We start from the raw sequence: 12,438 nt of genomic DNA, 5'->3' as shown, positions 1-12,438 counted from the left end.
GGATCTCAGAGATATTTGCACTTGCATGTTCATTGCAACTCTCTTCACGATAGCCTTGATGTGAAAACAACCTAATGACTACTGAAAGACGAATTAAGAAAATATGATAAATATGAACAATGGAATACTATTCAGTCTTAAAAAGAAAAGAAATTCTGCAACATGTGATAACATGTATGAACTTTGCTGACATTATGCTAAGTGAAATAAGCCCATTACAGAAGAATAAATACTGACTGATTATATTTATGTGAGGCATATAAAAGAGTCAAACTCATGAAAGCAGAAAGTAGAATGGTGATTTACAGTGGTTGGGTAACAGGGGAAATAGGGAGTTGCTAGTCAATGGGTATAAAGTTTCAGTTATACAAAATGAATAAGTTCTAGAGATCTGCTGTACAACATTGTGCCTATAGTTAATAATACTGTATTGTACAGTTGACCTTTGAATAACATGAGATTTAGGGTGGCTGACCCCTCACACAGTTGACAATCTGTGTATAACTTTTGGTTCCCCCAAAACATAACTACTGATAGCCTACTGTTGACCAGAAACCTTACCAATAGCATAAACGGTCAACATATATTTTCCATGTTATATGTATTATAGACTGTATTCTTACTATAAAGTAAGCTAGAGAAAATGATGTTTAGAAAATCACGAGGAAATATATTTACTATTCATTAAATAGAAGTGGGTCTCATAAAGTTTTTCATCCTCATCTCTTCACATTGAGTAGGTGGAGGAGGGAGGGAAGGCATTGTTCTTGCTTTCTGTAGGGTAGTAGAGGTGGAGGCAGTGGATGGGGTAAAAAGGAAGACAGGAAAGGCAGGTACACACAGTGCACCTTTACAGAAATACATCAAAATTGCTATTTGACTTTGATGTTTAATCATTTCTCTAAAAATGTTTCTATATGATACCAATCCTTCTTCCACTGTTTGCTTTTGTTTCAGTGCCCACATTACAGAAGGTTCCACGTTGTAAAATATACCAAAACAGTCTTGAATAATCAGAACACTTCTGCCAGATTGTCTAATGTCAATTTGTTTCTGACACTGATTCTTCTATGTTTTTTCCTCATCATCTGAGACTGGTTCAGCACTTATCTTCATCAAGTTGTCTTCTGCCGACTCCTCTGATGTGGTGCCAATTAGCTCTTGAATGTCTCCAAGATCCATATTTTGAAATTCTTCACATCTTTGTTTGCCATATCCACAATCTCTTTGTAATTTCCTTGAATGACCATGTTGTGAATCCTATGAAGTTATGCACTACATCAGGACAGTTTTCTCCAGTAGAAATTTGTTTCCTGCTTGACGGCTTTTTGTGGCTTTTTCTATAAAGATGATGGCAACTTCAACGGTGTAATCCTTTCAGACTTTTATAATGTTCTCTCTATAGGGGTTCTCTTCTACAGTATTGACAATCCTTTTTTTTTGTGGTTTACATAAAACAAACTTTATTTTTTTATTTTATTTTATTATTATTATACTTTAATGACAATCCTTTCTATAGCGTAACATGCAATGAGCCTTAAATGTCCTTATAACCTCAGATCTATAGGCTGAATTAGAGACATTGTGTTTGGGATAAAGCAGACCACTTCAGCACCTTCAGTATTCAATTCATGGAGTTCTGGATGACCAAGAGCATTGTCTATTACCAAAAGAACTTTAAAAAAGCAAACCCTTTCTGCCGCCATATTCCTTGTCTTGGGGAACAAACTATCAATGGAAACTGTCAGAACTTTTTAGTAAAAAATTGTTCTTATTGTTCAGTCCTTCTTGTTGTACAACCAAAACACTAAAAAGTGTTTTTTATCTTTCCCCTTTAAGGCTTAGGGATTAGCAGTTGTATAGGTAAGAACAGTTCTGATCCTAAACCCCACTGCATTTGCGTAGAACATCAGAGTTAGCCTATCCCTTCCTGCCTTAAATCCTGGTGCTCACATGTCTTCCTTATTAATAAGTGTACTTTGTGGCATTTTTTTCCAGAATAGGGAACTTTCATCTAATTAAAAACCTGTTCGGGTAGATGTCCTTTCTTCTCAGTGATTTTCTTAATGCTATCTAGAACACTATTTCTGTTGCCTCCTGATTAGCAGAAGCTGCTTCTCCAGTTATCTTGACACTTTTCTGAGGCAAATCTCTTTCTAAAATTTTCAAATTATCCTTTAGTGACATTAAATTCTCCAGCTTTAAATCCTTCATTTTCCTTTTGCTTTAAGTTGTCATATAATGACTTCACTTTTTCTCAAATCATGTTTGAGTCTTACAGGTACGCTTTTTAAAAATTTTTTATTTAATTTAAGTTCCAGGATACATGGGCAGGGTGTGCAGATTTGTTACATAGGTAAACGTGTGCCAGGGTGGTTTGCTGCACCTATCAACCCATCACCTAGGTATTACTCCCAACATGCATCAGCTATTTTTCCTGATGCTCTCCCTCCTGCTGTGCCCACTCCCTGACAGGCCTCAGTATGTGTTGTTCCCCTCCCTGTGTCCACATATTCTCATTTTTCGGTACCCACTTATGAGTGAGAACATGTAGTGTTTGGTTTTCTCTTCCTGTTAGTTTGTTGAGGATAATGGCTTCTAGCTTCATCCACATCCCTGCAAAGGACATGATCTCTTTCCTTTTTATGGCTGCATAGTATTCCATGGTGTATATATAGCACATTTTCTTTATCCAGTCTATCCTTGATCTGCATTTGGGATGATTCCTTGTCTTTAATTTAATAGCAGTGTTGCACCTACATAAAAGCTGCATTTTCAATATTAGATAAAAACTATTTCACTAAAAGCACAGGTTTTGTGCCCACTGGTGTAGCTGCAGTGAGGCTTCATGTTGCTCCATTTCTCTTTCTCTCTCTCCCTGTCTCTCTCTCTCTCTCTCTCTCTCTGTGTGTGTGTGTGTGTGTCTGTTTACAATGGTCCTTCTACTGGATACATTTATATTGAAACAGTGGCCGGCTGCAGAGCTCAAACTACAGTACATATTAAACAACTTGACTTTTTCTTGTAATGTCATGACTTTTCTGTGCTTCTGGGAGCACTTCCAGCACTTCATATGGCTCACACAGTGTTATTTAAGGTTGATGGTATTGTACTAAACAAAATGAAAAATACACAGGAACCACAGGAGTTCACTTTTTAAAGTGATTCATCACTTACTGGAGAGTGATGAAAACCACTCACATGGAGATGATCAACGACATGTGACATTTTAAGTAAATACTCTCAACACTTGAGCTAACTGCAATAACAACAGGAGATGGTTACATAATTTTTACAGCAGTAAAATATGCACTACAGTTAATTTTATTCAGTTATGACTTAATACTGTATCGTTATATTTGGTTGCATTTCTCTTGACTGCAAATGGCATCATGTAAAACCTATAAGAGTTTTTCTGTATAAAGTTGGACAAATTTTAACTTTTAATAATAGATTTGTGCATATTTTATTATAGCAAATTATAAAATAGTTTAGCATCTATATATATTTTATTTATTCATGATATATCTGTATCTTAACATTTTCTAATTTCTAAGCTGTGTAGTTTATCTGCAGGTTTCTTCATATTGTCACAAATCTCAAAAAATATTTCCAATACATTTATTGAAAGATCTATGTATAAGTGGATCTGCACAGTTCAAACCTGTGCTGTTCAAAGGTCAACTCTACTTTTAAAAATCTGTTAAGAAGGTAGATTTTAATTTAGCTGTTCTTACCACAATAAAATAATAAAGTAATAAGAATTGAGAAAACACACACACGGAAAAACACACACCATAAAACTTCAGAGCACAATTAAATGATGCCATTACTCTGATCTATAAGGAAACTCATTGACATAAGAAAATATTGACATAAGAAAATATTGTCTTGATTTAAAACTATCTAGAAATAAATTATTTTCCATAATGAATCTGTCTCTAAAATTGATTTATGTGATCATATTGTTTTATAATCATATTGTTTTATAATCAACAACACAGACTGAATTCAGGAAATGATTGGTTAAATCAGTAACTCCATATACATGCTAAGTATTTATTTATCACCTGCCAGAAATGTAATTTTGAGGACTTTTTTGGTTCTTTCACTGGTCTTTGTATAGGAACTAAAGAATATAACCTAGCTAGATATTGTCTGACAGTGTTTCCGTTGGGTAACATACCGTGTTAAAAGGTGGAAAATTCTACCAAAAAAAAAAAATGTTAGTTTCTGGATGTTCTAGAAAACCAAGCAGGAGGTCTTTTCAATGCTGGGTCCAAAATTCTGCTTGAAAAGTACAGGCCAGAGCTGGGCGGCGCCTGAGCTTTTGGGTGTGTGGCGATAGCAGTTTACCAACAACAACCCTTCCCATTCTAACCATCAAACCCTAATTTCCGGTCTTTGACATTCTTTACTTATTTGTGTTATCTCTTTGGCTTGTGTAGGAGTTGAAGTTTGCCAAAGTATACTTTATAATAAGTGCACTTCATGCTTCTCACTGAGTAGAGAAGATGTGATAATATTTGAATGGCCAGGAGTAGAAATTGAATAACCATGAATTCTAAAATGCTGTAATTATTTCTGAATAGAGTAGAGAGACTGCAAAACTATTACCCTAAAGATCTAAAGCCCTTCACCACTTATTTTGTACTCAGTGATAAAAGCAATTATGAAACTGGAATCAAATGACTAAATATAATATATAATGTGTAGCTACAGTAAGTCACATTTCTAAAACGGAAGATATAAATCATCATCAAGTGTTTGCTTTCGTTTTATATTAGAAGGCACTTTCAAATTTGTTGGCCTACTGTGATGTCTATTCCTCTCAGAATGAATCCTTTGGTCTCATTGGAGTGATCTATTTAAGTCCTGGTGAGATAGAAAATCATATTCGTTTATTCACAAACACTAATCAGTTATTATTTGTTAAGACAGACAACATTCTGTCATGTTCTCAAAGAGATGGTGGGTAAGTACACACATATTTACAGATTGTTGTGAGAAGGGCTACAATAAAGACATGCTCTTGGTCATTAATAGGGGCACCGAATTTGAGACCAGTGGAAAATGATTAAGTAAGGGTTATCTGAGGAAAGCCACATGTTGAAAGAGACTTTAAGAACTATGAAAATAAAAGAGAGAAAAGTTTTTCCAATTTTAAATAAAGGGGAGTGTGAGATTACAGGGTACAGAAATTCAGTCAATCATTGAATTAAGGTACAGATACTCAGCAAGAGAAGGAATATAGGGAACAAAGTGGGTTTGGAAATAAGATGATAAGACCAGCATTTGACAGGTTGAATTTTAGGTAGTTATTTTAAAAAATCTAAGAAAAAAATGAATAAATAGTAGAAGTACATATTTAAACAAATTATAGAAAAATATCCATTACAATTAGTAAATTACATAGAATTTTTTTGTGTTTCATTAGTGTAAGAAGCAGGTTATAGTAGATGAGAAGTACATGGGAGATGAGACGATGAGGCACTTAGATGATTTTTTTCTAGGTACTTGGCTTTGAAGATGAATTGAGGAAACAGTTAATCAACTGGGAAGTCATTTGGGGATATAAAAAATGTATATATGTAAATAGATGGGAGAGACTTGAGAGTGTTTGCTGAGAAAAAGAGGGGATGCAGATGAACAAGAGGCAGAAAGATGAAATCTAAACCCCAGTTGGATTGATTAATATTAGCTAAAGATAGATACTTTTTCATAAGTATGGGTAAAACAAGATAAATATTGATATAGTACAGGTACATCTGTAGGAAGGAGGGCATGAAGTCAAGGCAGATATTACAACATGGGCTCTCATTCTTCTATGAGAGGAGAAATAAAGCATGCTCCGAGAGTGAAGACAAAAGTCATAAATTTTATTTACGTGTCCTCTCCTTCATTCATTTGTTCTACAAGCACTCATTAAATGTTGCCGTAGGCCAAGCCATCAGTGAAAGCCAGGAAAAATGATCATAACCAAAGTGCATTCTGTTGTCTCTTAAACCACCCACGCCATAAGCCAATAAAGCAGCCACAAGGAGATGTTAGCAAAGCAAACTCTGAGTTCTACACATCAACCAAGTCATCATCAACTGAAAAATAAAATGTACTGGACTTGGCAGTCAGTTTTCAGAGAGGGACATTTTAAGTAATCTAAAATAAGTTTGTTAAAAATCTCCATTTACATGTAGTTTTATAAGCAAAGTATAAAAAGGAGCTGAATTTCATTTTTATTCTGATTATTAACGCATTTATTTCCTACCTGTAACTTTTGGAAAGTAGTAAGCAAAGTACTATTGAAAAAGTAAATTTAATTATTTGGAAGAATGGTGTCCTGCACTTAAAAAGCACTATCATGGTACCTCGTTCCGATTGTACTTACTCAGATCCACATATCCGATATCCACATACATTTTAGCAAACAGAGATCCCAGCATAAAGGCAAAAACTAGACCAGTCATTCCCATTACATTCACAGTACCTGTCGGTATTACAAAACAATTTAATCAGATACCGCAAATACTTGGTTTTTATTCAACATGTTTTTAAAAGTAATATTACACAATACATTTCTCCAAATATTTATTCTAATAAAGAATACAGTTAATGATACTATTATTCCAAAGGTAGACCTAAGGATTAACCATGCAATTTAATATTTTCTGTTTATTACCTAAATACAAGGAAGAATGTCCTTCTTTTGCAAAATCATCAATGTAAGAAATCCCCAATGGTACTATGGGGGTTTCCCCTATGCCACGAAGCATATTACCCATGAAGACATAGATCCACATGTGTGACCCAGATTCCTTCACACAACCTATCGAGACAAGAGAGTGTTTTATTTTAAACATTATTTTTAACATTCTTATTAGAAATTTAACTACTTTAAGCCCTTTGCTATTCTATTTTTTTCTAATTACAAGTGATTCATATTCACTTTGCAAAGTTTGAAAATAAGGAAGGGCACAAAGAAAACAAGTAAAAAATATCTATAATCACACTACACACCGAAGATCATTGCAAATGTTACTCTAGATCTTCTACATTTTTGGTGCACAAAATATGCATAATATTCATTATGTACAATATATAATTAAATATCTAGGTTATTTTTAAGCTGCATACATAGTTATCGCTATATTATCACAATTTCCCCATGTTGTTAAGATTTCTTCTATGTGAAAATGTTAATGACTGTACAGTAGTGGGTTGAGTAACAATTCCCTCATTTGTTTAAACAATCTCTTCTTTTTTAGTTACAAAATATTTCCATTTTTTATTCTGTTAAACACAGATGTCATGGCTATAATTGTAAATAAGTCCTTGTGCACATTCCTGATTATTTTCTTAAGATTTATCACTAAAGTAGGCAAGTATATTTTTGTTCTTTAATATATATTAAAAATTAATCTCCAGAAAAAGTTACAAATTTACACACTTCCAGAAGTATATAAAATGTGAAATCTTATATTTCCTCCTTTCCATTTCTTTTCATTAAACTTTTGGGTTATAATTATAATTTATTATTTGTGTTATAATAGGCACAAAATCTTCAAATGCTATAATATTTTGCATTTTTTATGAAGAGCAAAGTTACACTATTCACATATTTCTGCCACTTCCTGCTTTTTAAATTTTAAATGTGTACGTTTTTTGCCAGTTACCGATTAAATTTTTTCTCTTTTCTCATCTACCTAAATATATCCTTCATATATATTACAGTCATCCCTTGACATATATAGTAGGATGTTTGTTCCAGGACAACTCATGTGTACCCAAATTCATGCATACTTAATTCCTCTGGTTGCCCCCGTGGAAACTACCTATAGAAGTAAGATCTCCATATGGGTGGGTTTCTCCTTCTGTTTGGTTGGACAAAAGCCATATATAAGTGAACAGATGCAACTACAATCTACGTTGTTCATGGGTCAACTGTGTATATTAACAGTATGATTTTGTCTGTATGTAACGGTTAAATATTTTTCCTATCTGTTCTTAAATGAATTTTGCTAAAAAATCACATTTTATAGATGTAATTAGATATACAAATTTTATACTTTTTAACTGTCAGTATTAATTCTTACCTCTTTCTATTATCTCAGACGGTGTTCTATTGAGTGATAACATTTGATTAATTAAACAGTTTGGTAAGTTTGATGTTGAATTTTCTGATGGATCAATATTGGTTTCTTTAGAATACCTGTAACTATAAGAGTAACACTGGATTGAACATTTTGCTTATCTGCTGAATATTTTCACCTTTCCCAAAAATGCAGAAAAATTTTCCCCTTTATTGACACTGTCTTTGAATTACCGGACTTCTCTTTGTCAATTTCCCAGGATGTATGTCAGAAGAGGAGGTGATAAGAGGGGGTGGGGGTGGGGCGGGAATGGGAGCATCTACTAAGACAGATAATTCAACACACCATGGATAAAGTGGGTTATCACTTTTCTATAATCCTAGGAGTGCTTATATTCTGGTCAAGATGTAAAATATCCTGTTTCACCTGTTTTTTTTTTAGTCTGTTAACTGTATCTATTTATCCCTTTGAGTTATCGCCAAAGATAGTAAGTCTGTCTGATTTTCTTTCATGAACACACACACACTAATGCTTGACTCTTCAAAACTCAATTAAAAATTTCTAACCTATTTTAACTTTATGAGGAAGAACTTAATAAGGACCAAAGAGATGGTGCTGAATTAGAGACAGATGCTGATATCCAAAAGTACTAAGGAGCTCTGTGAGCTCTGAGGGCAGCTCATAGTGTGCCAGATATGTTCAGCTTCAATGAGCTAGAAGTAAAGCTCAATTTTTGTACTTTAGAGATTTCACACTCTCTGAGATAAAAGCATATGATCAAAGACACAATAAGTTTAATATGCAAGGTCCCAAGTTGTCACATACACACACAGAAGAGATGATCAGCTTTGCTTGGAGGTGGTGGGTAGATCAAAGAAGACTTCGCAATGTGAGTGACAGATAAAATGAATATTGAAGATGGATAGAAGTTTAACTGGTAGACAAAGGAAGAAAAGTATTCAAGGCTGTAGAAACAACAGGTGCAAAGAGATGACATACTCTGGCACATTTAGAGAACTGTAAGCCTGGAATGTGGTCCTCAAATGTGGGGAGCAATGCAAGATGAAGCTGTGGTGGTTGCATCTAAGCATGTTCTCCTTAAAAATCATGAAGAATAAGATAGTAAGAAGATTAGAAGGAATTATGGGACACTGAAATTATGGTGTCAGAAGTAGAGAAAAAGGACGGGCATGATGAAGAGGCCACAAAGGTAGAAAAATGAATCAAGATATGGACTATGATGAGTATTAGAGCAGTACCATTAAGAAGAAAGTTCTTATAAGGGTCAAATGTAGGAAAAGAACAGAATTAATATGATGACCAAAAGGCATGATTGCTGGATATGGCAATGAGTAAGTAATTGGCATCTCTAACAGGGACTGCTCATTGTCTCTCGGTATCCTTTTTTCTCTCCTTCCATAGTAAAAGAAGTTGGGGTTTTTAGCTGGTAACCGCGTCCTGGAATAAAGCCTTTCCCCCCCAGTATCTATATATCTATGTGTAAAATGTAACCAATTTCTGGTAAATGTGAAGCCAGTGGAAACATTTTGCTTCTGAAAATGCTCCTTAAGCCTCAGTCTGTGTGCATTTTTGGTTCTTCTCCTTGTTCTTCTTCCCTTCTTCTATCCTGCTGCCAGAAAATACATTGCCACAATTTGTACCACGAGGCCAAGGCCATGCAAGGCATAGCACTATGATGAAAAGAATAGAACCATATCATCCTTGGACTAACTACATTAACTTTTATGTAAAAAATAAGCTCTGTCTTATTTAAGTTTTAGCTATTTCCAGTTTTCTCTTATGAACACCTTCCTCTAATCATAACTATGCAGTTACCTTAGAAAGAACAACTTTGGTGTAATGCTGTTGGGCAAACTTATATGCAGTGGATGAAGCTGTGAAGTCTTACTATTATTAAAATCTTACAGGCAAAGACATGAAGTACACGTGTTATACTTCATGTAATAAATAGCTTATTTATTTCATTTGAAACTTTACACCTTATGTAATATTATTCTTATTTCAAAGTCTATGAAAGCCATGATGAATAAAGCAATATACTATCATATAAAAGAAATATACTCCATTTCTAGACATACTTGGTGAATATTCTCAAAAGATAACTATTTAAAGGATAAAAATAAAATTCTACTGCTAATTTACAAGTTGCTGATAATGAATGGCTCAGTGCTGTTTAACACTTACTATCCCATGAAGAAATGTGGTAAAGCCATCAAAATACTTCCAGTTCCCATAAGAAAACAACCAATTCCAATTAACTTCGGTCTGTGTAGTTTAGATCCAAAGTAACTTACAAATACAATCACAAACAAATTTCCTAGAAAGAGAACAAAATTATGTTGACATGACTTAGTTCAATTTTGTATCTGATAGAACTGAATGCCCCAGAATGACTGCAAATAAAGCCCAAGACATCATACCTTCCCTCAAAGACAATGTAATTTAATTGTGAAGATGAGCTCTCCTGCATTAAACCACTAATTGAAATTGGTATAGTACTAATGATAAGTAGAATAGGTTTTATATGCAAACAAAACACTTAGGTAATTTGGCAATATGAGAGAAGCAAAATGTTCTTGAAAGTTTGGAGATTACTGCATTGCGTTGGGATGGAAAAATGTCTTCCTAATCTGAGAAATCTTTTTATCATCATTCAGGCATTATTAAAATTTATTTCCAGCATTCTTTAAATTTATACTATATACCTACCATGGTGCTCAGAGTCAGAAATATAAAAAAAGAATAAACCATGGTACCTGTTCTCTAGAAACACATTAGTAATAAAATAAAACAGATAAATAGAGGTACTATTAGGTTACGGAAATAGCTTAAATTAGGGGCTTTGTGAAAATCTCCTGGAGGAGACGTCATTTGAGATTTAATGTTGAGTATAAATTATTTAGATTAAAACGTGGAAGAAGAGCAATCAGAGCAGACCAATTCAGATTTATCTGTAGCCTGATATATAACAATTAACAGACAACAATCAATAATTATTGAACATTGATTGAAAATAGTAGCATGAAAGAAGAGCATCAAAACAGACCAGCAGATAAAGCAACATAAGCATAAGTACTTAAACAAGATTAAACTAAAAACAGTAAAAACATTTTTTTAAAAATTCTGTTAGCATATTTAGAGGTACAAGGGCATGTAGCATCCATAAAATCAGAATGGCAGACTAAAAGTAACAAAAGAATGATAAAGTATTGTTATAAATTTAAAATATTATTAAAAATTTACAAATTAGAACTTGATATAATAAGATGGCATCAGAGAAGATTGATGAAACATAGGGAAAATAGGTAGAAATTTAGAAGAAAAAAATTTAAAAGCAAAAATACCCAGAAAATATATTATTTATATCATATATGTTACAGAATAAAATAGAAAAAAACAAATAGAAAACAGAAAATAAACTCGCTGGTCTGGTGAGATGGCTAACGCCTATAATCCCAGCACTTTGGGAGGCCAAGGCGGGTGGATAATCTGAGGTCAGGAGTTCGAGAGCATCCTGGACAACATGGTGAAACCCCGTCTCTACTAAAAATACAAAATTAACCAGGCATGCTGGCACATGCCTGTAATTCCAGCTACTTGGGAGACTGAGGCAGGAGAATCTCTTGAACCCGGGAGGCGGAGGTTGTAGTGAGCTGAGATCACGCCATTGCACTGCAGCCTGGGTAGCAAGAGCGAAAAACTGTTTCCCCTCCTCCCCCCGCAAAAAAAAGAAAAGAAAGAAAACATTGGGAGGCCAAGGCGGGTGGATCACGAGGTCAGGAGGTCGAGACCACGGTGAAACCCCGTCTCTACTAAAAATACAACAACAACAATAAAATTAGCCGTGCGTGGTGACGGGCGCCTGTAGTCCCAGCTACTCGGGAGGCTGAGGCAGGAGAATGGCATGAACCAGGAAGGCGAGCTTGCAGTCAGCCGAGATCGCGCCACTGCACTCCAGCCTGGGCGACAGAGCGAGACTCTGTCTCAAAAAAAAAAAAGAAAGAAAAAAGAAAAAGAGAAGAAATTCCCTGTGTTAGAGGAAGACTTAAGATGAAAGTTTCTGCTTTTGTCCAGCAGAATTAATACAGACAGAGACAGTCTCAGATATATGCTGGTATATTTTCAGAGATTTAGAGATAAGAGATTCATATCAGTGCATAAAAATTACAATGGCATTAATTTCTTATATACAACACTGAATGTTATAAAACAGTAGATAAATAATTTAAACGTTTTAAGAAAAAGAGATTTTGAATGTTTAATTCCATATCCAGACAATTTATCACTTAAATATGGTAGTCAAATAAGCACATTTTCCAAGATAATATGC

At 34.3% G+C, this 12,438-nt stretch overlaps 2 protein-coding genes across 2 annotated transcripts in view; both read right to left on the bottom strand.

Moving 5' to 3' along the window:
• SLCO1B3-SLCO1B7 (SLCO1B3-SLCO1B7 readthrough) overlaps window positions 1-12,438 on the bottom strand; it is a 275,549-nt gene that overhangs the window by 61,550 nt on the left and 201,561 nt on the right. The window lies entirely within an intron of this gene.
• Window positions 1-12,438, bottom strand: part of LOC124902894 (putative solute carrier organic anion transporter family member 1B7) — a 150,851-nt gene that overhangs the window by 22,583 nt on the left and 115,830 nt on the right. Inside the window, exons 3-6 of the mRNA XM_047429949.1 lie at window positions 10,293-10,425; window positions 8,091-8,212; window positions 6,677-6,823; window positions 6,386-6,484 (exon numbers count right to left, since the gene is read on the bottom strand). Of these exons, the coding sequence (XP_047285905.1) occupies window positions 6,386-6,484; window positions 6,677-6,823; window positions 8,091-8,212; window positions 10,293-10,425 (501 nt within the window). The remainder of the gene's footprint in view (window positions 1-6,385; window positions 6,485-6,676; window positions 6,824-8,090; window positions 8,213-10,292; window positions 10,426-12,438) is intronic.

The sequence above is a fragment of the Homo sapiens genome, chromosome 12, assembly GCF_000001405.40.
Source record: "Homo sapiens chromosome 12, GRCh38.p14 Primary Assembly".
Classification (NCBI taxonomy): Eukaryota; Metazoa; Chordata; class Mammalia; order Primates; family Hominidae; genus Homo; species Homo sapiens.
Note: the sequence above shows the minus strand (reverse complement) of the source record. Positions and strands in the feature narration are given on the sequence as shown.